Source organism: Homo sapiens, chromosome 16 (assembly GCF_000001405.40).
Source record: "Homo sapiens chromosome 16, GRCh38.p14 Primary Assembly".
In the NCBI taxonomy this organism is placed as follows: Eukaryota; Metazoa; Chordata; class Mammalia; order Primates; family Hominidae; genus Homo; species Homo sapiens.
The window spans coordinates 14,820,879-14,845,454 of NC_000016.10; the positions used below are offsets into that span (position 1 = coordinate 14,820,879).

Consider the following 24,576-nt stretch of genomic DNA (forward strand, 5'->3'; position numbering starts at 1 on the left):
TCCCTTTTTCCTCTCGGTGTGAATCAGGAACACTGCGAAGCTCTGGACGGGAAAGTCAGGGAGGCCCCTTAGGGGAGGGTGGGAGGCTGAGGGGAGCCTCTTCTCTTCCCCTTGTTCTCCACTGTGGCAGGCAAAGCAGCAGCTGGGAGGAAGCCGGGCTCCAGACTGAAGGCATCATTACCATCGTGGTGAGCCACACAGTAGGATGAATGAGGAATTCTGGGGCCTCAGGCGTTCCCTGTTGGATTTTCCAAAGAGCGACAGCCACGCTGGAGGTACACAGGACTATGAGGGTGAATCCAAGCACCTGAGGATACAGGCTTAGATAAGCTTGGGGGGCAATAAGAGAGGTCACAGCAAACTGGTAAGCAGCCCCATGTCCAACTGGGAGCTGGTTCTGCAACATCCTGGCTGATACTGAGTATACCAGGGTCACCAGCTAGCAACGTGCCAATGTGAACAATGTGTAAAGGGCATTGCAGATCACTCCTGACCTGTAACTGTCATATAAATAATGCACAGGAAGGGCTTGAGCCAACCGAGTGTTTTCCAAAATGCAGGAAGTGCTCCAATCGTGCACATATGAGATGACTCTGGGTATGGAGAAACAGCAGGAAATGAAATGTACTCACCAGGTAAAAAACTATCCTTTCTCCAAGTCATTTTTCAATCCCTGCTATGAAATCAAGGAGCAACTCTCTGTTGGGCCAGTAAGTCTCTAGGGTCTCTCTAATATATTTTGGTTTCTCTATTGAATAAAAGAAAGGAAGAAAATGAGAGAACGTGGGCACACCAGAGGGAAGGCCAGAGCTAGGTTACGTTGGAGTAACTGCTCAAAGAACCTCAGTTTAAAGCAGAAGTTGGCAAACTATCAATCATCAAAGAAAAACAAAAAGCATATGTCATGACAGGTGAAAATTACATGAAATCCAAATTTCAGTGACTACAAATAAAGTTTTATTGAAACGCAGTCGGCCGGGGGTGGTGGCTCACACCTGTAATCCCAGCACTTTGGCAGGCCGAGGCAGGCAGATCACCTGAGGTCAGGAGTTGGAGACCAGCCTGGCCAACATGGCGAAACCCTGTTTCTACTAAAGATACAAAAAAATAGCGAGGTGTGGGGGTGGGCACCTGTAATCCCAGCTACTCGGGAAGCTGAGGCAGGAGAATCACTTGAACCCAGGAGGCGGAGGTTGCAGTGAGCCGAGATCGCACCATTGCACTCCAGCCTGGGTAACAAGAGCAAAACTGCATCTCAAAAACAAAACAAAACAAAAAAGTAACACAGTCATGACTATTGTCTATGGTTATGACTATTGCGTTCATTCTGGAATGGCAGAGTTCAGTGTTCGGAAGGAAGATTACCTGGCTCACAAAGTCTCAAATACTGTGTGCCACTTGGCTCTTTAAGTTTGCCAACCCCTGGGTTGGTGGTGGGTGATAATGTAAAAATTAATACAATGGCAGAAGAATGAATGAACTCTGAAGAACATTCTTTGGAAGTCTACAAGAATGGAGTAGAAGAGGATGGATGAGCAGAAAGGCTCACACTTGGAATGCCAGTGTTTATTTAACACACTAAGGTAAATACATATCACATATAAAAATTGTCCTATAATACAGCTAGTGGGGAAACATAAAAATAAATGCATAACTTTTTAAAAGGTTCATCCTAATGTGGCCCTAAAATTACCTTGTGTATCCAAGAGTCTACATGGTATGTTTTGGAAAATGCCAGGTTATGGTAGCTATAAACTGTCCAGGAACATGGGAGTGTATGCGTATGTTTGCGCATGCGTGGATTTTCGGAATTACAAAATCTGTTTGGGAGAACCGTGTTCCACTGAGTTGACCTCTGTAGCCTTTCTAATATTGCTCTGTTTGATTAACAGATTCCCTTCTACACCCCGATAGGAGGAGTCTACTTTAAGACTTCACCAGGTTCCAGCCTGTCCCCTGCCTCCCCCCACCATTGCCTGGTTCCAGGCTCCCAGGGATGGCAGCTACCATCTTGGCTTTGAAGAGTGGGGACATCTGGAGGTAGCCCCGGCCATGGTGGTGGATGAAGAGGAGGTAGATGGGACCAAGGACCCAGAGGTACATGGGGGGCACCCAGACCCCTGCTGTTCTCAGGAAGCACAGGCTCAGCAGGCTGGTGGCGGCAGGTTCAGGCTCTGTCTGGTTCCAGACCTGAGGGAACACAAAGAGGACCCTTAGGATGGTACAAGGCAGGGGTCCCCAGCTCACCTGCCTGGGGGGCCAGGCAACTTTTTGGATCTTTAACATTTACACAAAAATGTGCCAAGTACTCTTTGGAATACCTACTAATTCTCAATTCCTTTCATCCTGACATTAACCCTAGGTAGTTGCAATTATATTGATATGCAGATGAAGAAGCTGAGGACCAGAGAGGTTGAGTAACTTTGCTGACTTTACCCAGCTGAGGAGTGGAAGGGCTGGGATTTGAACCCAGGGAACTGGGCCATGTGGTCTAGGAGACCTGGGCTCCATAATCATTGCTAGGCATGGACTGTCAGTTAATCCTTATAACAACTCCAGGATGCAGACAGTACTGTCTCCATTTCAGAAACCAGCAGACTGAGGCACCAATCAGGGAACTGCCTCCCCCAGGGACACACAAATGGGAAGTGGCAAAGCTGACTCTGACCCAGGCTTATCTGACCCCAAACCTCGTTCAACTGGTGGTCTTGATGTATGATTTATTTTTATTTTTTATTATTAATTAATTTATGTTTTAGAGACAGGGTCTCACTCTGTTGCCCAGGCTGAAGTGGCACAATCAAAGCTCAACAAAGCTTCGAATTTCCTGGGCTCAAGCAATCCTCCCACCTCGGCCTCCCAGAGTGCTGGGATTACAGGCATAAGCCGCCTCACCAGGCCTGGCTAATTTTTTTTTTATGTTTTGTAGAGATGGGGGTCTCTCTATGCTGGTCTCGATCTCCTGGCCTCAAGCAATCCTCCTGCCTCAGCCTCCTAGGTACTGGGATTACAGGCAAGAGCCACCGGCCCAGCTTGATCTGTTATTTTCATCTCAGCAGGTCTGCTGGTCCTATCTAACCCTAGAAGAAATTTGAAGTTTAGTGGACGTGGCCTCTTCAATTCTCTCTCCGCTGTCTTTTTACTCCTCCTGGTTTCACAACTCACCGGCTGTGCAAACTTTAACCTCTCTGTATCTCAGTTTCCTTCCCTGCAAAAGGGGGATAACGAGACTCTACCTCTATGAGTTGTATTAAATGGATGAATAGCAGCAAAGTTCATAGCAGCATGGCACAAGGTTGGGCACAAGGCTAGGCACAGAGAAAGCCCTCAGTTCATTGCCAGTTTATTGCTTCAACTCCCTGGCCCTCGAAATGCTGGCAGTTTGCAACCCCCACCCCCACTCCATGAACTCCACTCCCTGGAGTCCTTTGCTAAGAGCAATGGAAAAAGAAACCAGAGAGGTAAGGGCTCTCCGGGGGTAGGAGGGCTTGGGGGACCCACTAGCTTTATGCAAAGAAGGGTCAAAGCCCCTAGTAGCTGGGAGGTCTGGTGGCCCCTTAAATAGAGCTGGGCTCTCGGCTGCTGGCTTGGTGAAAGAAATCCAACCCGCTGCAGTGAGGGGGCCGGAGTAAGTCTCCTCGCTTCCCGGGTCCAGGAATTTGGGGGTCTCTCCTCTCCCCAGTATCGCAGCCCGAGAGATCTGCAGCCAAACCAAGCCTGGAAAAGGAGAGTGGGGCGCGATGGGGGGCACTCACCCCCTGCCCCGCGCAGGGCTCAGCAGGCGCGGCCATCGGCGCCTTCTGTCGTCGTGGGTCCCAGCGTCTGTCTGTCGCTAAGTCTCTGGGCAGACTGCTCGGCCGCGATCCTGCCGGAGAAGAGGCGGGGCTGGGCTGGTCGGGCTGGGCTGGTCCGGCTGGGATTCGAGCTCCAGGATCGGGAGGCCCCGGGCAAGGTCCAGCTGCGCGGCGGGAGTGAGGCCACGGGAGGTGAAAACAGGCGAGGTGGGGGATGGGGGAAGAGAGGCGCTCGGGGAGCTGGGACGGGCACCGGGTTGGGGGGTCCCGGAACCCCTGAAAGTTCAGTGACACCTCCAGAGTTCCCTCTTCCCCCTGCAACAAGAATCACTCCAAACTTCCCAAACACTTTGGACCCAGCAATTTCCAGGAGTTCATCCTGATGAGAGAACTGAAAGGTGTGCACACGTTAGTAACAAGGAGGCCTGGTGACCGCCTAAGCGTCCAATCCCGGGGACCACCGGGTCGAGGCCGAGAGGATGGAGACCGCGTCACAGGCACCTCGCTGCTGGAATGGAGGGTGGTGGGGAGAACTTAGAAGATTATGCAATGGGCTGGCAGGGCTATACCCAGCCGCCCTGGTAAGCAGAAACTCAAGAAACCTCTAGGGTCCTGTTTTCTGGTCGTATGATCCCAGGAGTGCACATGGGCCCCTCGGGTGTCTGAACAGAAGGGCATAGGAGGGAGGGCCGCAGCCCTGCAGTCTTACTCTGCTGGTGTAGCGGTCACCTGGCAACTCCCACCCCACCCTGCACCGCGGGCTCCTGAGTCGGCAGATTAAGCATTTTATAAATTCTATTTTAAATACGTGTTTTAAACTTGTCAGATATTTGTCGTCATTTCAGTCCCTGCGCCTCTACCTCTTGCTGTGGTCGCTTATTTAACACTGGGGGGCTACGTTCTGCTAAGTCCCAGGGAGAGACTGTTCCTAATATCCGAGGGAGATATTATTCCTAATATCACGCTGGGTGAACACCACGTGTGTACAGCCTCTGATACGATTGGTAATATCCAAGGGAGATATTATCCTAACATCCCAGTGGGTGAACACCATGTGTGTAAACGCTGTGGTATTATTAGAAATATCCAAGGGAGATATTACTTCTAATATCACAGTGGGTGTACATCCTGTGATATTATTCGTAATATCCGAAGGAGATTTTACTCCTAATATCACAGTGGGAGTACACACTGTGATATTATTTGTAATATCCGAGGGAGATTTTACTCCTAATATCACAGTAGGTGTACAACCTGTGATATTATTCATAATATGCTAGAGATATATTACTCCAAATCTCATGGTGGGTGTACACTCTGTCATAGAATTCGTGATATCCTAGGGAGTTATTACCGCTAATATCACAGTGAGAGTACACCCTGTGATATTATTCATACTATCCTAGAAAGATATTACTTTTAATATCACAGAGGGTGTACACCCTGTGATATTATTCGTAATATTCTATGAAGATATAACTCCTGATATAACCGTAGGTGTATACCCTGTGATATTATTTGTTATATCCTAGGGAGATACTACACCTAATACCACAGTGGGTGTACACCCTGTGATATGATTTGTAATATCCTAGGGAGATATAACTCCTAATATCACAGAGGGAGTACACCCTGTAATATTATTCATAATATCCTAGAAAGATAATACTTTTAATATCACAGTGGGTGTACACTCTGTGATAATATTCGTAATTTCCTAGGGAGATACTACTCCTAATATCACCTAGAGTGTACACTGCGTGATATTATTCGTAATATCGTAGGGAGCTATTGCTTTTAATTTCACAGTGGGTGTATACCCTATGATATTATTCATAATATCTTAAGAAGGTAGTACTCCTAAAATCACAGTGCCTGTACACACTGTGATATTATTCATAATATTCTAGGGAGATGTTACTCCTAATCTCATAGTGGGTGTACACCTTGTGATACTATTTGTAATGTTCTAGAAAGATATTCCTTTTAATATCACAGTGGGTGTACACCCTGTGATATGATTCGAAATATTCTAGGGCGATATTACTCCTAATATCCCAGTGAATTTACACCATGCGTGTACACGCTGTGACCTCCCAGAAAGATATGACTCCTAATATCACAGTGGGGGTACACCCTGTGCTATTATTTGTAATACCCTATGGATATCATAATATCACAATGAACGTACACCATTGTGTACATGCTGTGATATTATTTGTAATATTTTTGGGTGATATTACCCCTAATGTCACAGTGCGTGTACATCTTTTGATATTATTTGTAATATTCTGTGGAGATATTGCCCCTAATATCACAGTGGGTGTATACTCTTTGATACTATTCGTAACATCCTGGAAGATATTATCCATATTGTCACGGTGGGTGTACACCCTGTGATATTATTCGTTATATTCTGGGGATATACTATTACCCCTAATATACTGTGGGTGTACCCCCTGTGATATTATTCACTATATCTTGGAGATATAATATTACCCCTAATATCACAGTGGGTGTATACTTTGTGATATTATTCATTATATCCTGAAGAGATATTATTTCCTTTAATATCACAGTGCATGTACACCTTGTGATATTATTTGTTATATCCTGGGGAGATACTACTATATTACTCCTAGTATCACAGTGGCTGTACGCCTTGTGATACTATTCATTATATCCTGGGGAGATATTATTACTCCTAATATCACAGTAAGTGTATACCCTGTGCTATTATTCATAATATCCTGGGAGATATTACCCGTATTGTCACAGTGGGTGTACATCCTGTAATATTATTTGTAATATCCTGGGGAGATATTATTACTCCTAATAGCACAGTGGGTGTACACCCTGTGATATTATTGGTTATATCCTGGGGAGGTATTATTATTCCTAATATCACAGTGGGTGAACATTCTGTAATATTATTCATTATATTTTGGGGAGATATTAATTCCTCTAATATCACAGTGGGTGTACACCCTGTGATATTATTCATTATATCCTGGGAAGATATTAATTCCTCTAATATCACAGTGGGTGTACACCCTGTAATATTATTCATTATATCCTGGGAAGATATTATTTCCTCTAATATCACAGTGGGTGTACACCCTGTGATATTATTTGTTGTATCCTGGGGAGATATTATTATGTCTCATATCACAATGGGTGAACACCCTGTGATAGTATTCGTTATATTTGGGGAAGATGTTATTACCCCTAATATCACAGTGGTGTACACCCTGTGATATTATTCATTACATCCTAGGGAGATATTGTTACCCATAATATCACAGTGGATGTACACCCTGTCATATTATTCGTTATATCCTTGAGAGATGTTACTACCCCTAATATCACAGTGGGTGTATACCCTGTGATATTATTCGTCAAATTTTCTGGAGATATTATTACCCATAATATCACAGTGTGTGTACCCACTGTGACAGTATTGATTATATCTTGGGGTGATATTACTCCTAATTTCACAGTGGCTGTATCCCTGTGTTTACACCCTGTGATGTTATTCATAATATTTTAGGGAGATATTACTCCTAATATCACAGTCAGTGTACACCATGTTTGTACACCCTATGATATTATTTGTAATATTTTAGGGAGATATTACCCCTAATATCGTTGTGGGTGTACAGCATGTTTGTAAACACTGTGATATTATTCATAATATCTGAGAGAGATATTACTGCCAATATCACAGTGGGTGTACACCCTGTACACCGTGTGATACGATTCATAATATCTGAGGGAGATATTACTCCCAGTATCACAGTGGGTTTACACCCTGTGGTATTATTCATAATATTCGAGGGAGATATTACTCTCAATATCACAGTGGATGTACACCCTGTGATATTATTTGCAATATCCGAGGGAAACATTACTGCTAATATCACAGTGGGAGTACACCCTGTGATATTATTTGTTTTATCCTGGAGACATATTATTCCTATTATCACAGTGGTTGTACACCCTGTGATATTCTTCGCTATATTCATGGAAGATGTTATTACCCCTAATATCACAGTTGGTGTACACCCTGTGATATTATTCGTTATATCCTGGGGAGATATTATTACCCCTAGTATCACAGTGGGTGTACGCCCTGTCATATTATTCATTACATCATGGGAAGATATTATTACATCTAATATCACTGTGGGTGTACACCCTGTGATATTATTTATTATATCCTGGTGAGATGTTATTACTGCTAATATCACAGGGTGTGTCAAATTTTCTGGAGATATTATTACCCTTAATATCACAGTGGGTGTGCACCCTGTGTGTACACTCTGTAATATTATTCATAATATTTTAGGGAGATATTACTACTAATATCACAGTGGGTGTACACCCTGAGGAGATATTACTTCCTCTGATATCACAGTGGGTGTACACCCTCTCATATTATTCGTTATGTGCTAAGTAGATATTATTACCCCTAATATCACAGTGGGTGTACACCCTGTGATGTTATTCCTTATATCCCAAGAAGATATTATTATAACTAATATCACAGTGGGTGTACACCCTATGATATTATCTGTTATATACTGGGGGGATATTATTTGTAATATTTTAGGGAGATACTACTCCTAATATCATAGTGGGTGTACTCATATTTTACAGATATATTACTTTTAATATCACAGTGGGTGTACACCCTGTGTGTACACCCTGTAATATTATTAGTAATATTTTAGGGAGATATTACTCCTAATATCATAGTGGGTATACACCATGTTTGTAAACCCCAGGATATTATTCATAATATCCGAGGGAGATATTACTCCCAATATCACAGTGGGTTTACACCCTATGATATTATTTGTAATATCTGAGGCAGGTATTACTCTCCATATCACAGTGAGTGTACACCCTTCTATATTATTCATAACATCCGAGGGAGATATTACTTCCAATATCAAAGTGGGTGTGATAATATCTGAGGGAGATATTATTCCTAATATCCGTGGGAGATATTATTCCTAATATCTCAGTGGGTGTACCGCGTCACAGTGGGTGTGCACTGTGTGATATTATTCATAGTATCCAAGGGAGATCTTACTCCTAATATCACAGTGAGTGTACACCCTGTGATATTATTCATTATATTTGAGGGTGATTTTACTCCTGATATCACAGTGAGTGTATACCCTGTGATATTATTCTAATACCCAAGGGAGAGCTTTCTCCTAATATCACAGTGGGTGTACACTCTGTGATATGTTTCATAATATCCGAGGGAGATAGGATGGAGACCACGTCACAGTCCCCTCACTGCTGGAATGGACACTGTCTACCCGTGGAGTGGTGGGGAGAACTTAGTGAGATTATGCAAGCGTTTAGCACACTGCCAGATATACATTAAATGCTCAGAAGACTTAGCTTTTATTACTACCGTTATAATTGAGGCCATGGGTTACTAACCAGTGGTTTAAAATGCCATTGCAGCTGGGCACGGTGGCTCATGCCTGTAATCCCAGCACTTTGGGAGGCTGATGAGGGCGGATCACTTGAGGTCAGGAGTTTGTGACCAGCCTGGCAAACATAGTGAAACCCCGTTTCTACTAAAAATACAAAAATTAGCTGGGTGTTTTGGTGCGTGCCTGTAGTTTCAGCTTCTCAGGAGGTTGAGGCAGGAGAATCGCTTGAACCTGGGAGGCGAAGGTTGCGGTGAGCCAAGATTGTGCCACTGCACTCCAGCCTGGGTGACAGAGCGAGACTCTGTCTCAGAACAAACAAACAAAATGCCATTGAAGACATATATGAATATGAAAAGGTGGTTGCTAAGTGATGATTGAATAAAAGAGATTATAATATAAAATAGGCTTTGGTTTTTTTAAAGCAAAAAAGAAAAGGATATGCCTAAATTAGGGAACATGGAGAAGAAGGCCAAGGCATTTACCTTCCTCTCTTGAGTCTTTTTCTCTCTCCGTCTCTTTTTTTTTTTTTTTTTTTTTTGAGTCAGGGTCTTGCTCTGTCACCCAGGCTGGAGTGCAGTAGTGCCATCATGGCTCACTGCAGCCTTGACCTCCTGAGCTCAAGCAACCTTCCACCTCAGCCTCTCCGGAGTATCTGGGACTACAGGCACACACCACCAAGCCTGGCTGATTTTTAAATTTTTTTGTGGAGACTTGTCTCACTTTGTTGCCCAAGCTGCTTTGGAACTCCTGGCCTCAAGCCATCCTCTTGCCTAGGCCTCCCAAAGTGCTGCGATTACAGGCGTGAGCCACCATGCCCAGCTCTCTCTTGGGTCTTAAAGCAAAGTGTCAAAGACCCAGCCACCACTTCTTAGAAATGACTCGATGTCATACTAGCATAAATGCATCGATAAAAAGATGGAAATGTGGTAACACAGTGATCTTGGGGAATCCTAGTTTTCTTTTCCAATTTCTTTGTTGTTGCAGTGAGCAAGTACTTGTTTCAAGATAGGAATGAAATATTCGGCTCTTTTAGACAGACAAGCACAGGTGCTCAGTTTGGGAGAAGAATTAAAATCCTCTGCACTCTCCATGCTGCCTTGCTAATTCTCGGGGTCCTGTCCTCATCTTCTACTCTTGCCTTCTGCAGGGACCCCACAGCGTGTTTTCCCCGATCTTTTTGTATCACTCTAAATCCAGTATTGGGCCCAGGGAGCACCCCCTCCCCTGCCCCCTTCAGCTGTCCTCCTGCCTGAGTCTTCTGGAAGCTTCGGGACAGAAAGAACCCAAGGATTTGTCATGAAGCTCAGTGTGGCAGGTCTACTGTTTCCATGTAAATCATGTCTGCTTATCTGAGCTGGTTTTGGTGGAAACTGATGGAAATTATGGGGAAGCTAAATCCCTGTCTCTCTGCAAGCCACTCCCCAATCCCACCCCCATGAATTGGCATTGTCACAGTCCTGGTGCTTCATTTCTTTCTATATTTGAAGATGAATTTGAGGGAAATAGTCAGAAAGTCAAGAAGAACACAGCAGAAATCAATTGGGGTGAGTCCAGAACAAAACTTGGGGATCCCACTTCCTGCTTTTTTTTTTTTTTTGAGATGGAGTCTCACTCTGTCGCCCAGGCTGGAGTGCAGTGGCAAGACCTCAGCTCACTGCAACCTGTGGCTCCCTGGTTCAAGTGATTCTCCTGCCTCAGCCTCCTGAGTAGCTGGGATTAGAGGCATGCGCCACCACACCTAGCTAATTTTTGTATTTTTAGTAGAGACAGGGTTTTGCCATGTTGGCCAATTTGGTCTCGAACTCCTGACCTCAAATGATCTGCCCACCTCGGACTCCCAACATGTTCATATTACAGTAGTAAGCCACGGCTTCTGGCCCCAATTCCTGCTCTCTAGCTCCGGGAAAACCTATGGCTGCATGCAGAGTCTTAGACAACTTCCTTTTCCTCTCTGGGCCTCAGTTTCCCATTCTGTAAGATGAGAGGTTTCCATAGGCCTACACTTTCTAATTGGTGGCTTTCAATCCTCTGGTGATTTGCATAAAAGGCATCTATTTCAATTGTGGTTATAAATAACAAACCCCAATAAGTAGACGAATTATTTAAATGGTTTCTCATTATCACTGAATAGTTGAGAGTCTACTGTATTTGAGTGAAAATGCAGCACGAGAAACTGAAATCAGATGCACTCATGATTATGACCCTGAGGTCAATGTGTCATTCCCTTCATTCCCTCCTTGCCCCCATGAAAGTTTGACTACTGTATGGTTTGAACCTGTGCTTCTTAGTTGTTTATTGCTTAAGTTTTAGCCACAATGGCAAATTGCAGCGGGAAATTCAGTCTTACTTTGTCATTTGGAAACAAAATACAAAACCTATCAAAATAAAGCACTAGCTTTTTTTTTTTGAGACAAAATGGAAGAAATCCTAATATTAGGTAAGAAAAGCAATTTTTTGGTGTTTTTTTAATTTTATTTATTTATTTTTTTGAGACAGAGTCTTGCTCTGTCGCCCAGGCTGGAGTGCAGTGGTGCGATCTCGGCTAACCGCAAGCTCCGCCTCCCAGGTTCACGCCATTCTCCTGCCTCAGCCTCCCGAGTAGCTGGTACTACAGGCGCCCGCCACCACGCCCGGCTAAGTGTTTATATTTTTAGTAGAGACGGGGTTTCACTGTGTTAGCCAGGATGGTCTCGATCTCGTGGCCTCATGATCTGCCAGCCTTGGCCTCCCAAAGTGCTGGGATTACAGGCGTGAGCCACTGTGCCCGGCCTCTTTGGTGTGTATTTTGATGTGGTGACTGGTAGTTAAATTCAGTGTACATATGAATTCACTCTTGGGACAAAATATGCTGGATTTGAGCTTGTTTTTAGGCAAATCATGTTTCATCTTGCAGAGCTAATTCAAAGTATACTGACTGCATGCACTTCTTGCTTAGGGGAAGAAAACTCATCAAAATTTGTTTCTAGGCATATGTTATTAGAGCTAGGATTAAAATAAATCTTACATACTTTCTTTAATATGCTAACATTAACACGTTTTGCTTAAAAAAGTATCGATCATTTATCATGGAAAAATACACCAGCTTACACAAATTCTTAAAGCGTTTTTCGTGTGTGTTTTTCGTGTGTGTGTGTGTGTGCGTGTGTGTGCGTGTGCGCGTGTGTGTGTAGAGATGGGGTTTCGCCATATTGCCCAGGCTGGTCTCGAACTCCTGGGCTCAAGCGATCCACCCACCTCAGCCTCCCAAAGTGCTGGGATTACAGGCGTGAGCCACACACCCGGCCCTAAAGCTTTTTGTGAGATTATATATTTTACCTGCGAAATATATGGGTCAGAAAGATTTGAGAAAGTTGTTAGATAATTCCACCAACAAAATCTCCCGTCCTTTCCAGCTGTGATGGTGAATTCTAAAGTAGAATTCATCTTTGGAGCTTCTCCCTGTAGGCATGCACCTTGCGTTGCGCCTGCCAGATGTCGCGCGGAGTCCTCCAGGCCTCTAGAAGGCAGAGATGGTCTCGTTTCCTTGCCGAGCATGCGCCTTAGTTCTCTCTTCTGGGGCTGTGAACGTGGGGTCGAAGCGCGCGTGCGCGGCGGCTCTGGCGGCGGCGGTGGGGCGGGGCCTGGGCTGTCAGCCGGCCTAGGAGGAGGAAGGAGCCTGCGGCGTGCAGTGTGAGGGGCGGGACCCGGCTGCCGGCGGTGGGTCTAGCTGGGGGAGGTCGGGCCATGCTGGTGGGCCAGGGCGCGGGGCCGCTGGGGCCCGCGGTGGTCACCGCCGCGGTGGTGCTGCTGCTGAGCGGCGTGGGGCCGGCGCACGGCTCGGAGGACATCGTGGTGGGCTGCGGTGGCTTCGTCAAGTCGGACGTGGAGATCAACTACTCTCTCATCGAGGTGAGCGCCCGCCCCGCCGCCCGGCGCCGAGTCGCCGGGCCGGTGGTTCAGCCTCTCTGGGCCGCGCTGGCCTCGTCTCTGACACCGGGCGGTGTGGAGTCCTTGGAGCCCTTACCTCTTCCGAGGCTATGCTGTCCGCGGGCTCCCTGCAGCCCCTCCCCAGTCGCGCTGGAGGGGAGGTTCTTATCATGGGGTCGTCTAAGGACTGAGGGGTGCCAGACCTCAGGTTCTTCAAAACCCCGACTCCAGATCCCCGGAACACAGACCCCAGATCCTCAAAACCCAGACCCTAAATTCCCTGGAGCCCAGACTCCATTTCTTTAAAACTTAGACCTGAGATCTCCTCGAATCAGACCCCCTGAAACTCAGATTTCCCCAAACCCACATTCCAGAACCTAGAGACCACATGTCTTATCCCCCAAACTCCACAGCCCAGAACCCCCCGAAGTTCTAATCCACTGCTCCTCCAAACCCCGCGGCATGATTTTAAAGAGCATCAATTCCCATCCCATAGATTCTGACCTAGTAGATCAGTATTGGCAACCCTGGGGCCGGAAAGCTATTTTTTATTTCTCCGGCTCCCCTCCACTTCTGAAAATGGAGAGTTGCCAGCTGCCCTGATTGCCTTAATGAGTAGTTAATGGAATTACCCTAGAGATTTGTGCTGAAGGTTTTTTTTTTTTTTTTTTAAATTAAGTTGTAAAGTCCTGTTAAATGTTTATCAGCCCGGTGGGATTATGACCCAGAAAGGTTCCCGTAAAGAGGAAAGGGATGGATGGAGGTAGGGGCAGAATGTCATTTGTCCCGGTAGATGGGAGGGGACCAGAGCAAGGCCTGGGCCTCATTTTTGGGAGGGGATTTATGGTGGGGTAGGACAAGGAAGAGGAAAAGAGCGGGTGCCTCGGAGGTAATTTAGGAGAAAACGAAGGAAGAGGCTGGGAAATGCCAAAGAGAGGGATTGGGGAATAAGACCCCAAAGATCGTCTGAAAGCACCTTTGAGCTGTTCCAGGGCTGGCAGTGAAGGGTGAAGCTCTGTGTTCTGCAAAGCGGGCTGCTGAGGATTGGGGGAGGGGTAGGGAGTCAGTTCCACACCCCACCAGCTCTGCGACCTGCCCTTGCTCTAGGTTTCAGTTTTTGTACCTATAGGATGGTGTTGGGAGAGAAACAGTGGAACCCAGCAGATACATTTCTTTAACAAGCGGATCCGTGATCTTCTTCAAGGCCCCCTTGTTTACTGCTTTTTCAGACTGAAGAGGTCAGAGGTCAGGCATTGAATGAATCTACCCACTGGCAGCGGCAGGGCTCCTAGGATTTCCTGGGTACATGTTTCTGGGTGCCCATGCCACCGCCTAGGTCTGCACTGGGGACAGGACGCGTTCAGGGTGGTATGGCTGTAGACGGCACAGGGCATTTCAGAAGCTGAAATGCAAGAGGCCGCTAAGGCCTCTTGCAACTTGTAGTTTCCAGGGGTTCTGGAAGGAAGGAAAAGACAGGCACCCCCCTCCACCCTCACCCTCATACTAATAGTGACCTTGAGAGCAGAGAACAGGTTTTGTGACCCATTTCAAAGTGTGTTCCTTAAGCCCAAGGGCTGCCTGTCCAGATGGTGTGGGACACTCATTCTTTCATAAGTAATTCAGATTCTGAAATCAGACATTTCATACTGGCCATCTTGATGTAGATTACATTGCCATCCTGTGTCCTGATTGTACTTTATGAAAGATGTAGAAATAATCATGATATTTCACGGTTATTTCTTGATTGTGTTTTTTGTGTTCCTATGCAACTGCCGCCATTCTTCTCTAGCTTTCTCCCATCCTGAGTGTTTTTACATCGTGTTCATTGAGTCAACAACTATTTACTGAGCCCTGGCACATACTGAAGCCTTGTCCCCAGTGTGGATATAGCAGTACAGTGAACAGAACAGACAAAACTCCATACTCTCATGAGACTGACATTTTGTTCTCTAACAGGGACCTTACTGTTAAAAAAAAAAAATTATACTGGTTGCTAATACTTTAACAATCCGCAGGTTTCACATTAAAAACCGGGTTCTTTATTTCTCTGGAAAGCCAGCCGATCTTTAGGCTGCCACACTTGGCTTGGGTTTTGTAGTGATCTGAATCCTTTTGGATGAATGTCCCTTGATGTTGCCTCCCTAACCGGTCTAGGCTGGTGAATTTCCAGTCCCTGCCTTAAATGCATGTATCTGAATCTCTTTGTCACCTGTAGCAAATTCACTGAGTACCTAGAGTAAGCTAGACACTGTCTCAGGCACTGGGGAATGAAGTTGTCACTGACCTCAGAGAACTTTACATACAGGCTTAACCTTATTTCACACGAGTCCTTTCCCAAATGTTCAAATGTTCGTTTTATGAGTTAGTCACTTTGTACATCTTCTTAGCTGGTGAGATTCGACTGTTTCATTGCAGCTCGTGTCATGGTTTGTTTCATGGTCATAGAGCATTAACATTTTGGAGGTGAGGCTTTTAGGTGCATCAGACCCAACTGCTTCCTTTTACAGACATGGAAACTGAGCCTCAGAGTGGTTGAGCTGTGCAGGTACATTTAGGAAATTTTCCTTGAGCCCAGTATGTTCCCTACGTATTACACTGTGTTGCCTTTTTCTTCAGAGAGAGATATTAAATAGTAATACAAACTGCTTTTTCCATTTTACTTTTTTTTTTTTTTTTTTTTTTGAGACGGAGTCTCGCTCTGTCGCCCAGGCCGGACTGCAGACTGCAGTGGCACAATCTCGGCTCACTGCAAGCTCCGCTTCCCGGGTTCACGCCATTCTCCTGCCTCAGCCTCCCGAGTAGCTGGGACTACAGGCGCCCGCCACCGCGCCCGGCTAATTTTTTGTATTTTTAGTAGAGACGGGGTTTCACCTTGTTAGCCAGGATGGTCTCGATCTCCTGACCTCATGATCCACCCGCCTCGGCCTCCCAAAGTGCTGGGATTACAGGCGTGAGCCACCGCGCCCGGCCCCATTTTACTTATTTTATTTTGTTTTATTTTGAGGCAGGGTCTCACACTGTTGCTCAGGCTGGAGTATAGTGGCACCATCATAGCTCACCAAAGCCTCTGACTCCTGGCCTCAAGCAGTCCTCCTGCCTCGGCCTCCTGAGTAGCTGAGGCTACAGGCACGTGCCATCATGCCTAGCTAATTTTTTTTCTAGTAGGGATGAGGTGTGGCTATGTTGTCCAGGCTGGTCTCCTGGGCTCAAGTGATCCTCCTTCTTTGGCCTCCCAAAATGCTGGGATTACAGGCATGAGCCACCATGCCTGGCCGCAAACTGATTTTTCTTTGAATCCATATTCTGTAGCAGGTGCTTAATATGCATTGATGTGAATCTGTACAACCACATGAAAAGGAGTGGCTCTGTGTCTACATCTGAAGAAACCGAACACGAGCTTGCCCAAGGCCACGCAACACGTGGAAGACTCAGATGGCATTTGGGCATCTTACTGGGTTAACACTTCGTGTCTGGTAATGCTCAGAATGTAAGAGTTTTAGAGAGTCCTTGAAGAGAGGACAGATATTAAATGTCTTTTTAGTCTCTTTTTCTTCGGAGAATGAAAGTAATGAGAAAATTAAGTTTCTAGATGAATGTTGCTCCAAGTATTTGAAATTATTCAGAGTTAGTAAGGAAGATTTCTGGCCCTCATTCCAGACCTTTAGTTGAGAAATAGAGGTGGGCCCCAGGAATTTGCAATTTATTTTACTTTATTTTTTTTTATTATTATTTTTGAGACGGAGTCTTGCTCTGTCTCCCAGGCTGGAGTGCTGTGGCATGATCTTGGCTCACTGCAACCTCCGCCTCCTGAGTTCAAACAATTTTCCTGCCTCAGCCTCCCAAGTACCTGGGACTACCGGTGCCTGCCACCATGCCTGGGTAACTTTTTTTGTATTTTTAGTAGGGACAGGGTTTCACCTTGTTGGCCAGGCTGGTCTCAAATTCCTGACCTTAAGTGATCTGCCCACCTCAGCCTCCTGAAGTGCTGGGAGTACTGGCATGAGCCACCGTGCCCAGCCAGGAATTTGCATGTTAATAAGCACCTTACTAATGGCAAAGTTTGCAAATTTGTTTTAGACCCGGAAACTTACACGAGCAACCTAGAGACAGCCACTAAAATAAACAGAAAAGCATTGAAAAATAAGGCATTGTAATAGGCTGTAGATGGTTTCTAATCTGAAAAACATTGAGTCACATGATTTGGGAGAGAGTTTGTTGATTTCCCTCTGTCCCCAGTAATGCCCCGTGTTAAAAGCTGGCATATAATAGGTCCTCAGTGAATGTATACTGACTGAGTGCATTCAGGTGTAACATGTGTAGTTAATTCCCAAAGGCAATGTTATGATTTCTGTTTTCCTTCCTTCCTTTCCAGATAAAGCTGTACACCAAGCATGGGACTTTGAAATACCAGACAGACTGTGCCCCTAATAATGGTTACTTTATGATCCCTTTGTATGATAAGGTAAGAGGGGACTGCTTGTCACTTATGATGGGAAATCACTAGTGTGCCTCACCAGGCTGCATTAACCATGCCCTTTCCTACACTAGCAAATGCTCATCTGTTTTGTAAATTATTAGTGGAATATGATAATCCTAGCCACATTTGGAGGGAGACAACTTACAAACTGCCTTGACGAATACAGTGGCTCTCTCTGTGTTTAGGGCCATTTGGCAATGTCTAGAGACGTTTTTGTTGTGACATCTGTGGCTGTGCGCTACAGTCACCCAGTGAGTAGTGGCCAGGCGTGGAGCTAAATGCGCTACAGTGCTGCCTACGACAGCCCAGATGTCAGTAGTGCCAGGGCTGAGAAACCCTGATTTCATGGAACCCGTTACTTGCAAGCAGCTTAAAGTATTGTTAAAACAATTGTACAAGTAATACATGAATTCATGAACTTTGTGAAAAAGAAAGTCAAGGTCTTTAGAAGTATGTGAAATAAATTTGTACCCTTTTCCCTCCAATTTTACCTCCCTCTGTAGTGATAACCTTTGATAATCTGATAAAGGGTTTTTTTGTTGTTTTTTTTTTTCTTCTTTTGAGATGGAGTCTCGCTCTGTCGCCCAGGCTGGAGTGCAGTGGTGTGATCTTGCCTCACTCCAACCTCCACCCCCCAGGTTCAAGCCATTTTCCTTCCTCAGCCTCCCAAATAGCTGGGATTACAGGCACCTGCCACTACACCCAGCTAATGTTTTGTATTTTTAATAGTGACGGGGTTTTGCCATGTTGGCCAGGCTGGTCTCGAACTCCTGACCTCAAGTGAACCACCTGCCTCAGCCTCCCAAAGTGCTGGGATTACAGGTGTGAGCCGATGTTTCCGGCCCTCTTATAAAATTTTGATGTGCATCCTAACAGATTGCTTTCTATTTATAGTTATTCAGATAGCCACGGGTACACATGCATATGTATACATGGAAATACACACAAGCACACATGCACATCGATATGTATCCACAAACACCTCTATACAATCCCATCCTCCCACATATAAACCTTTTATTTGGAAATACAGATTCATAGGAAGTTGCAAAAATAGTCAATACACATAGTTTTGATTTTGATATATTTTTTAATACAAATGAAATCAAACAATAGGATTTATTCTGCAGTTTCATTTTTTCCCCTGTGTTAATGCTTTCAATACCAGAGGGACATTTGGTTTTTTCCTCTTGCATGCTTTCAACATTAGCATAGATAGATCTACTGACTTTTTTTTCTTTTTTTTTTGAGACAGAGTGTCACTCTGTCAGCCAGGCTGGAGTGCAGTGGCGCGATCTCGGCTCACTGCAACCTCTGCCTCCTGGGTTCCAGTGATTCTTCTGCCTCAGCCTCCCAAGTAGCTGGGATTACAGGCACCCACCACCATGCCCAGCTAATTTTTTTTGTATTTTTAGTAGAGATGGTGTTTCACCATGTTGGCCAGGCTGGTTTTGAACTCCTGACCTCAGGTGATCCGCCCACCTCAGCCTCCCAGAGTGCTGGGATTACAGGCATGAGCCACCATGCTCAGCCTACTGACTTCTTTTTAATCGCTGCATAGTGTGTCAGAGTCAAACCCAAACTGTAATTTATTTAACTACTTGGACATATAGACTTTCCCCAATTTTAAAATAATAGTAATTTTAACATAACACACCAGGAAATATTCTTGAACTTAACTCTTCATCCAGAATGCATAGGACTGATTTCTAGAGATGGACTAGCTGGGTCTGTCCTGAAATCTATTTAATTAATTTTTAAATAGTATCAGTATCAGTCTCAAGAAACCAGGAGGCTGGACGTGGTAGCTCATGCCTGTAATCCTAGCACTTTGGGAGGTTGAGGCAGGTGGATCGCCTGAGCTCAGGAGTGTGAGACCAGCCTGGGCAACATGGTGCAACCCCGTCTCTACTAAAATACAAAAAAATTAGCCGGGTGTCACGTGGATGCCTGTAGTCCCAGCTACTTGGGAGGCTGAGGCAGGAGAATCGCTTGAACCCAGGAGACGGAGGTTGCAGTGAGCCAAGATCGCACCACTTCACTCCAGCCTGGGCAACAGAGCGAGGCTCCATCTCAAAAAAAAAAAACTAAAACAAAAACAAAGAAACCAGGGTTGATAAGTAAAATCTAGTTTTATTTATTGAATTAATGAGTTAATGTATTGTTTAGAGACAGGATCTCCCTCCGCTGCCCATGCTGGAGTGCAGGGGCACAATTATGGTTCACTGCAGCACTGACCTCCTGGGCTCAAGTGATCTTCCTGCCTCTTCCTCCTAAGTAGCTAAGACTGTAGGCGCCTGCCACCACACCCAGCTGATTTTTTAAGAACATTTTTTGTACAGATGGGGTCTTGCTATGTTGCTTAGGCTGGTCTTGAACTCCTGGCCTCAAGTGACCCTCCTGCCTTGGCCTCCCACAGTGTTGGGATTATAGGTGTGAGGTGCTGTGCCTGGCCAAATCTAGTTTTAGGGGGTGCCTTTAGTTCCTGAAGATACATGCTAACTTGTGCAACTGTAGGCATGTGAGGGCTTAATGGGAGACTCAATTAATAGAATTATAGTATGTTTAGTATTAAAAGACAGTGAGTGGCTGAACCTAGTGTCTTTAGAACTCATGAATGGGCTTCAGCACTGTCTTCTGATTGTTTAGATGAAAACTTCTGGTGTTCAGCTTCAGCTTGTAGCTTCTGAAGAGAATCAGTGCTCAGTACCATGTAGAAGAACAAGGCTCACTCTTAGAATTTCATTTCCGGTGTAAAAAAATTTTAGATTAAATGATAACACTAAACTAAATTTAGCCAGAGTCACAATTCTCATTTCTTGAAATTACATTTTCTTTTTTTCCTTTTAGGGGGATTTCATTCTGAAGATTGAGCCTCCCCTAGGGTGGAGTTTTGGTAAGTTAACTGAATCACTAGACATTCTTTGTAAAAGATTAGATGATATGCCGAATATTAATTTAGGCTAGCAGAGTGCATAAACTATTAAAATATTAAGGATCATTTCCAGTATGGAAGAGGGTTTGTATTCCTCCCCTCCTTGCCCCCATCACTCTGGTTTAGTTCGGATTTACCTTAATCTACCTTAAGACTTTCTGTCACCTTTGAAAAATAGACATCTTTTCTTCTACCTTTCTGGAAACTCTTCCCTTGCAGTTTCACTCATTACGTGGCCGTGGAACAGTATAGAAATCAAGAGTGGGGACTTGGTTCCCGTCCCAGGATGGCTTCTTTTTTAGCCCCCTCAGTTTTTTAAGTTTTTATGGAATTAATTGAAACATTTAAAGATTGTGAGATTTGTCATAAAAATCCAGATTTATGTCCCATGAGATGAGAAGACTGTCAGCCTTATACCTTACCAGTTAAATAACTTTGGGCAAGTTACTTCCCCCGTGTCAGCCTGGCTCCTCACTGTCGAGCAAGGGTAGTTATAGTCCCTGCCCCACTGGGTACTTGGACGATTAATAAACCAATACTGAGTGTTCAGAGGGGCTGGCACGTAATTAGCAAGTACTCAGTATTCAGAAACAGCCCTTCTGCACACATCCCAAACAAAAGCTCCAAACTTTCCTCATATAACTGCCTTCAAGCATAGCTGGGGAGTCGGGGATGGGGTTGAGATCAGAAGAGAGGGTCTGTTTTGATGTAGTTTACATTTTTGAAGAGGAGAGACTCTTGATGTTTCAGTAGAGCAGGTGTGGGTGACCCCAGTCCATGGCTTGGGGAGAGGAGTAGGGATCACCGTTGTTGATATCAGGCTTGCTCGTGCATTAGACAAGGAAGAATTTAGCACCTGCCATCGCCAAGGCTAAAATGAGGCTCAGGCAGCTGACAGCTAATTTGGCTCTGTGAGAGCAGCTCTTTTATCAGTTTATAGTCAGGGGTAGGGTGGGGGGTGCCTGGCTGGTACGTTCCAGAAAGCTGGAGAGGAATGCAGCCCTGCTCATGGCCAAAGCAGAAGTCCAGATTGGTGGCCTGGAGGAGTGTTGTGTTTGCCACCCCCCACCCTACCCCCAACTGGTGCTGTTGATAAGCTTTTTAATTGAATTATACTTTCAGAAAAGTGCCTTGGATGAATTTTCACTAAGTGAACACACCCATGTATCCACCATCCAGATGATAAGATAGCACTTCACCAGCACCCCAGAAGTCCCCATCCTGGGTGCTCCTTAGCCATCCCGCCCCACCCTCCAGGTGACCACCACCCTCACCTTCTACAAATTAGAGATCCATTTGGTCTGTTTTGAACTTTATACAAATGCTATCATGCAGGGAACTTTTTAATATCCGGTTTCTTTCACTCAACATTATGAACTTTATCTGTATCATTTGTAGCTTTAGTTCATTCTCTTTGCTGTTGAGAATTCTGATGCATAAATATAAAATTATTTATATTTTATAAAATATTTATATTTTATTTTATTTTTTCTTTTTTTTGAGACTGAGTCTCGCTCTGTTGCCCAGGCTGGAGTGTGATCTCAGTTCACTGCAACTTCTGCCCGGGTTCAAGCAATTCTTGTGCCTCAGCCTCCTCAGTAGATGAGATTACAGGTGTGCACCACCACACCCAGCTAATTTTTGTATTTTTAGTAGAGATGGGGTTTCATCATGTTGACCCAGGCTGGTCTCGAACTCCTGACCTCAAGTGATCTGCCCGCTTTGGCCTCCCAAAGTGTTGGGATTATAGGCAAGAGCCACCACGCCTGGCCTATATTTATATTTTATATTCATATTTTGTATCAGTGATCTCTTCTACTGTTGATGGCCATTTGAGTTGCTTACCGATTTTGGCCACTAAGAGCAGTGCTCCTGTGAACATTCTTGTATGTATATTTTGATACATGTGTCTGCATTTTTGCTGAGTATATCACAGGAGTAAAGTCGCTGAGCCATAGAGCTGATACATGCTCAGCTTTAGGTGTTTGCAAACATCCAAAGTGGATGCACCAGTTGGTGTTCTCCCAGCAGTGTACAAGGGTTTCCATTGCTCCACATCCTAACCTACACTTGGTATCGTCAGTTTTTTTTAATTTTAGCCCTTCTGGTGGGGGTGTGGTATTATCTCACTGTGGCCTTGATTTACATTCCACTGATGGAATGTAAATGAAAATTCCACTTTTTTGTATGTTTATGTTTGTTTGCCATGGGCTAGCTATTTTTGTAAGATTCCTGTTCAAGTCTTTTGCCCATTTTTTATTGGAGTCTTTGTGTGTGTGTGTGTGTGTGTGTGTGTGCATGTACGCGTGCAAGCACGTGTGTAATTCATCTTAACTGAAAATCTCATCTCATGGTTTTCCATTTTTTTCTCTACTCATTACTCCATATTCTTCCTAACCTTTCAAAAACTCAACCTTAACCCCTATTATGATGAACTCTTCAGTTAAAAAATGGAGTTAATTGCTGATATTGAAAAATCAAGAGATGGTATATAAAATCCAGATTTCCAGTTTTTCGGAGAAGTTGGAAGCTCTGGCAAAGCATGGTAGTGGTTGGCAGACTTGAGTGGCGGTTGTCTCCTTTCAATTTGCCACAGTCCCCCTGAGGATGCTCCGCTCACTTCGAACCCATGAGGCCCCTGTGGCCCTGGAGTTTGTGTTCCTGGTTTAACATGGCTGAGCTCATGTCCTTGGTCAGAGAACAGATCCAGAGCCAGACTTTTAGGGTTGAATTGGGGCTCTGTCACTCAGAAGCTCTGTGATCTTGGGAGCTCCTTTAACCTTTCTGTGCCTTAATTTACCCCTCAGTAAATTGCAGCTATTACTGCCTGTCTCTTAAGATAATTGTGAGGATTAAAGGCACTCAGCTCAGTGCCTGGTCGTTGATGAGCATTCAGGAAATAAAATTATTTGGTGCTCACTGAATTTTCACTGGAACTCTGAGATATAACTTAGCTGAAAGGCGTTGTAAAATTATTTTATACTCTAAACACGAATTCCCTCTGGGGCAGGAAACCAGGAGGCTAGGGGGATAGGGGTGAGAGGGAGACTTTTCCCAGAATACTTTTTTGTACCTTTGGATTTGGAAACACACGAGTGTATTAAGTGTTCAAAAGTAAAATGAAACCTGAATAATAAAAATACGTTCTACTTAGGTTCACTGTACCCCAAAACTAAGCTTGCCTTTGTGTCTTGTGCCCCGGTTTCCTCCCCTGCTTCGTTCCTCAGAGCCGACGACCGTGGAGCTCCATGTGGATGGAGTCAGTGACATCTGCACAAAGGGTGGGGACATCAACTTTGTCTTCACTGGGTTCTCTGTGAATGGCAAGGTTTGTCTTTGGAACTTGATTATTTTTCCTGTTCACTCTATAATGTATACTAAATCCTTTTTTAAAAAAATGCAGGATATTTTAACCTGGGGACTTTGATCCCACAAGGGACCCATGGATAAGTGGCAAGTGAGCCTGTGAACTCTGTACTTCATCCGTGTAGAACGCAGCAGGTGTATTTAGGAATGAGATTGAGGTTGCTGGTCATCCCCTCTGCTCCCAGAGCATAGGCTGTTGGTGTTTTTATTTTTTTATTTTTTATTTTGAGACAGGGTCTTGCTCTGTTGCCCAGGCTGGAGTGCAGTGGTGCAATCTTGACTCACTGCAGCCTCCACCTCCCAGGTTCAAGTGATTCTCCTGCCTCACCCTCCCGCTCCTTCACCCTCCCGAGTAGCTAGGATTACAAGTGTGTGCCACCATGCCTGGCTAATTTTTGTATTTTCAGCAGAGATGGGCTTCTGCTGTGTTGGCCAGGCTGGTCTCAAACTCCTGACCTCAGGTGATCCGCCTGCCTCCACTTCCCATAGTGCTGGGATTACAGGTGTACGCTGTGCACCCAGCCGCTGTTAGCGTTTATGTCAGGGATGGCCTTTTACAGGGATGCCGAATTGGAAGGACGCACTCTCTAAGCCTTGTGGCATCTTGCTGTCCCTGTGGGTGAATTGAAGTCAGCTTCTCCC

General features: G+C 45.0%; 1 protein-coding gene and 1 pseudogene across 2 annotated transcripts in view, besides 1 other annotated feature; one reads left to right on the forward strand and one right to left on the reverse strand.

Annotated features, from left to right (window-relative positions):
• Positions 1-1,548: 1,548 nt before the first annotated feature.
• ABCC6P2 (ATP binding cassette subfamily C member 6 pseudogene 2) lies at positions 1,549-3,824 on the reverse strand (annotated as a pseudogene). The gene is made up of 2 exons (NR_023387.2): positions 3,756-3,824; positions 1,549-2,190 (listed from the first exon to the last, which is right to left on the reverse strand). The product of NR_023387.2 is annotated as an ATP binding cassette subfamily C member 6 pseudogene 2 (transcript).
• Positions 4,106-4,834: an enhancer, noted in NCBI's record as "H3K4me1 hESC enhancer chr16:14918841-14919569 (GRCh37/hg19 assembly coordinates)". NCBI's record gives its function as "activates a minimal SCP1, AML or CMV promoter by ChIP-STARR-seq in naive H9 embryonic stem cells {active_cell/tissue: H9 hESC(naive)}" and the evidence as "EXISTENCE:reporter gene assay evidence [ECO:0000049][PMID:30033119]".
• The window catches only part of NOMO1 (NODAL modulator 1), a 62,437-nt gene continuing 50,703 nt past the window's right edge, over positions 12,843-24,576 (forward strand). The window contains exons 1-4 of the mRNA NM_014287.4: positions 12,843-13,138; positions 17,529-17,618; positions 20,484-20,529; positions 23,796-23,896. Coding sequence (NP_055102.3) covers positions 12,974-13,138; positions 17,529-17,618; positions 20,484-20,529; positions 23,796-23,896 — 402 coding nt within the window. The 5' untranslated portion in view covers positions 12,843-12,973. The remainder of the gene's footprint in view (positions 13,139-17,528; positions 17,619-20,483; positions 20,530-23,795; positions 23,897-24,576) is intronic.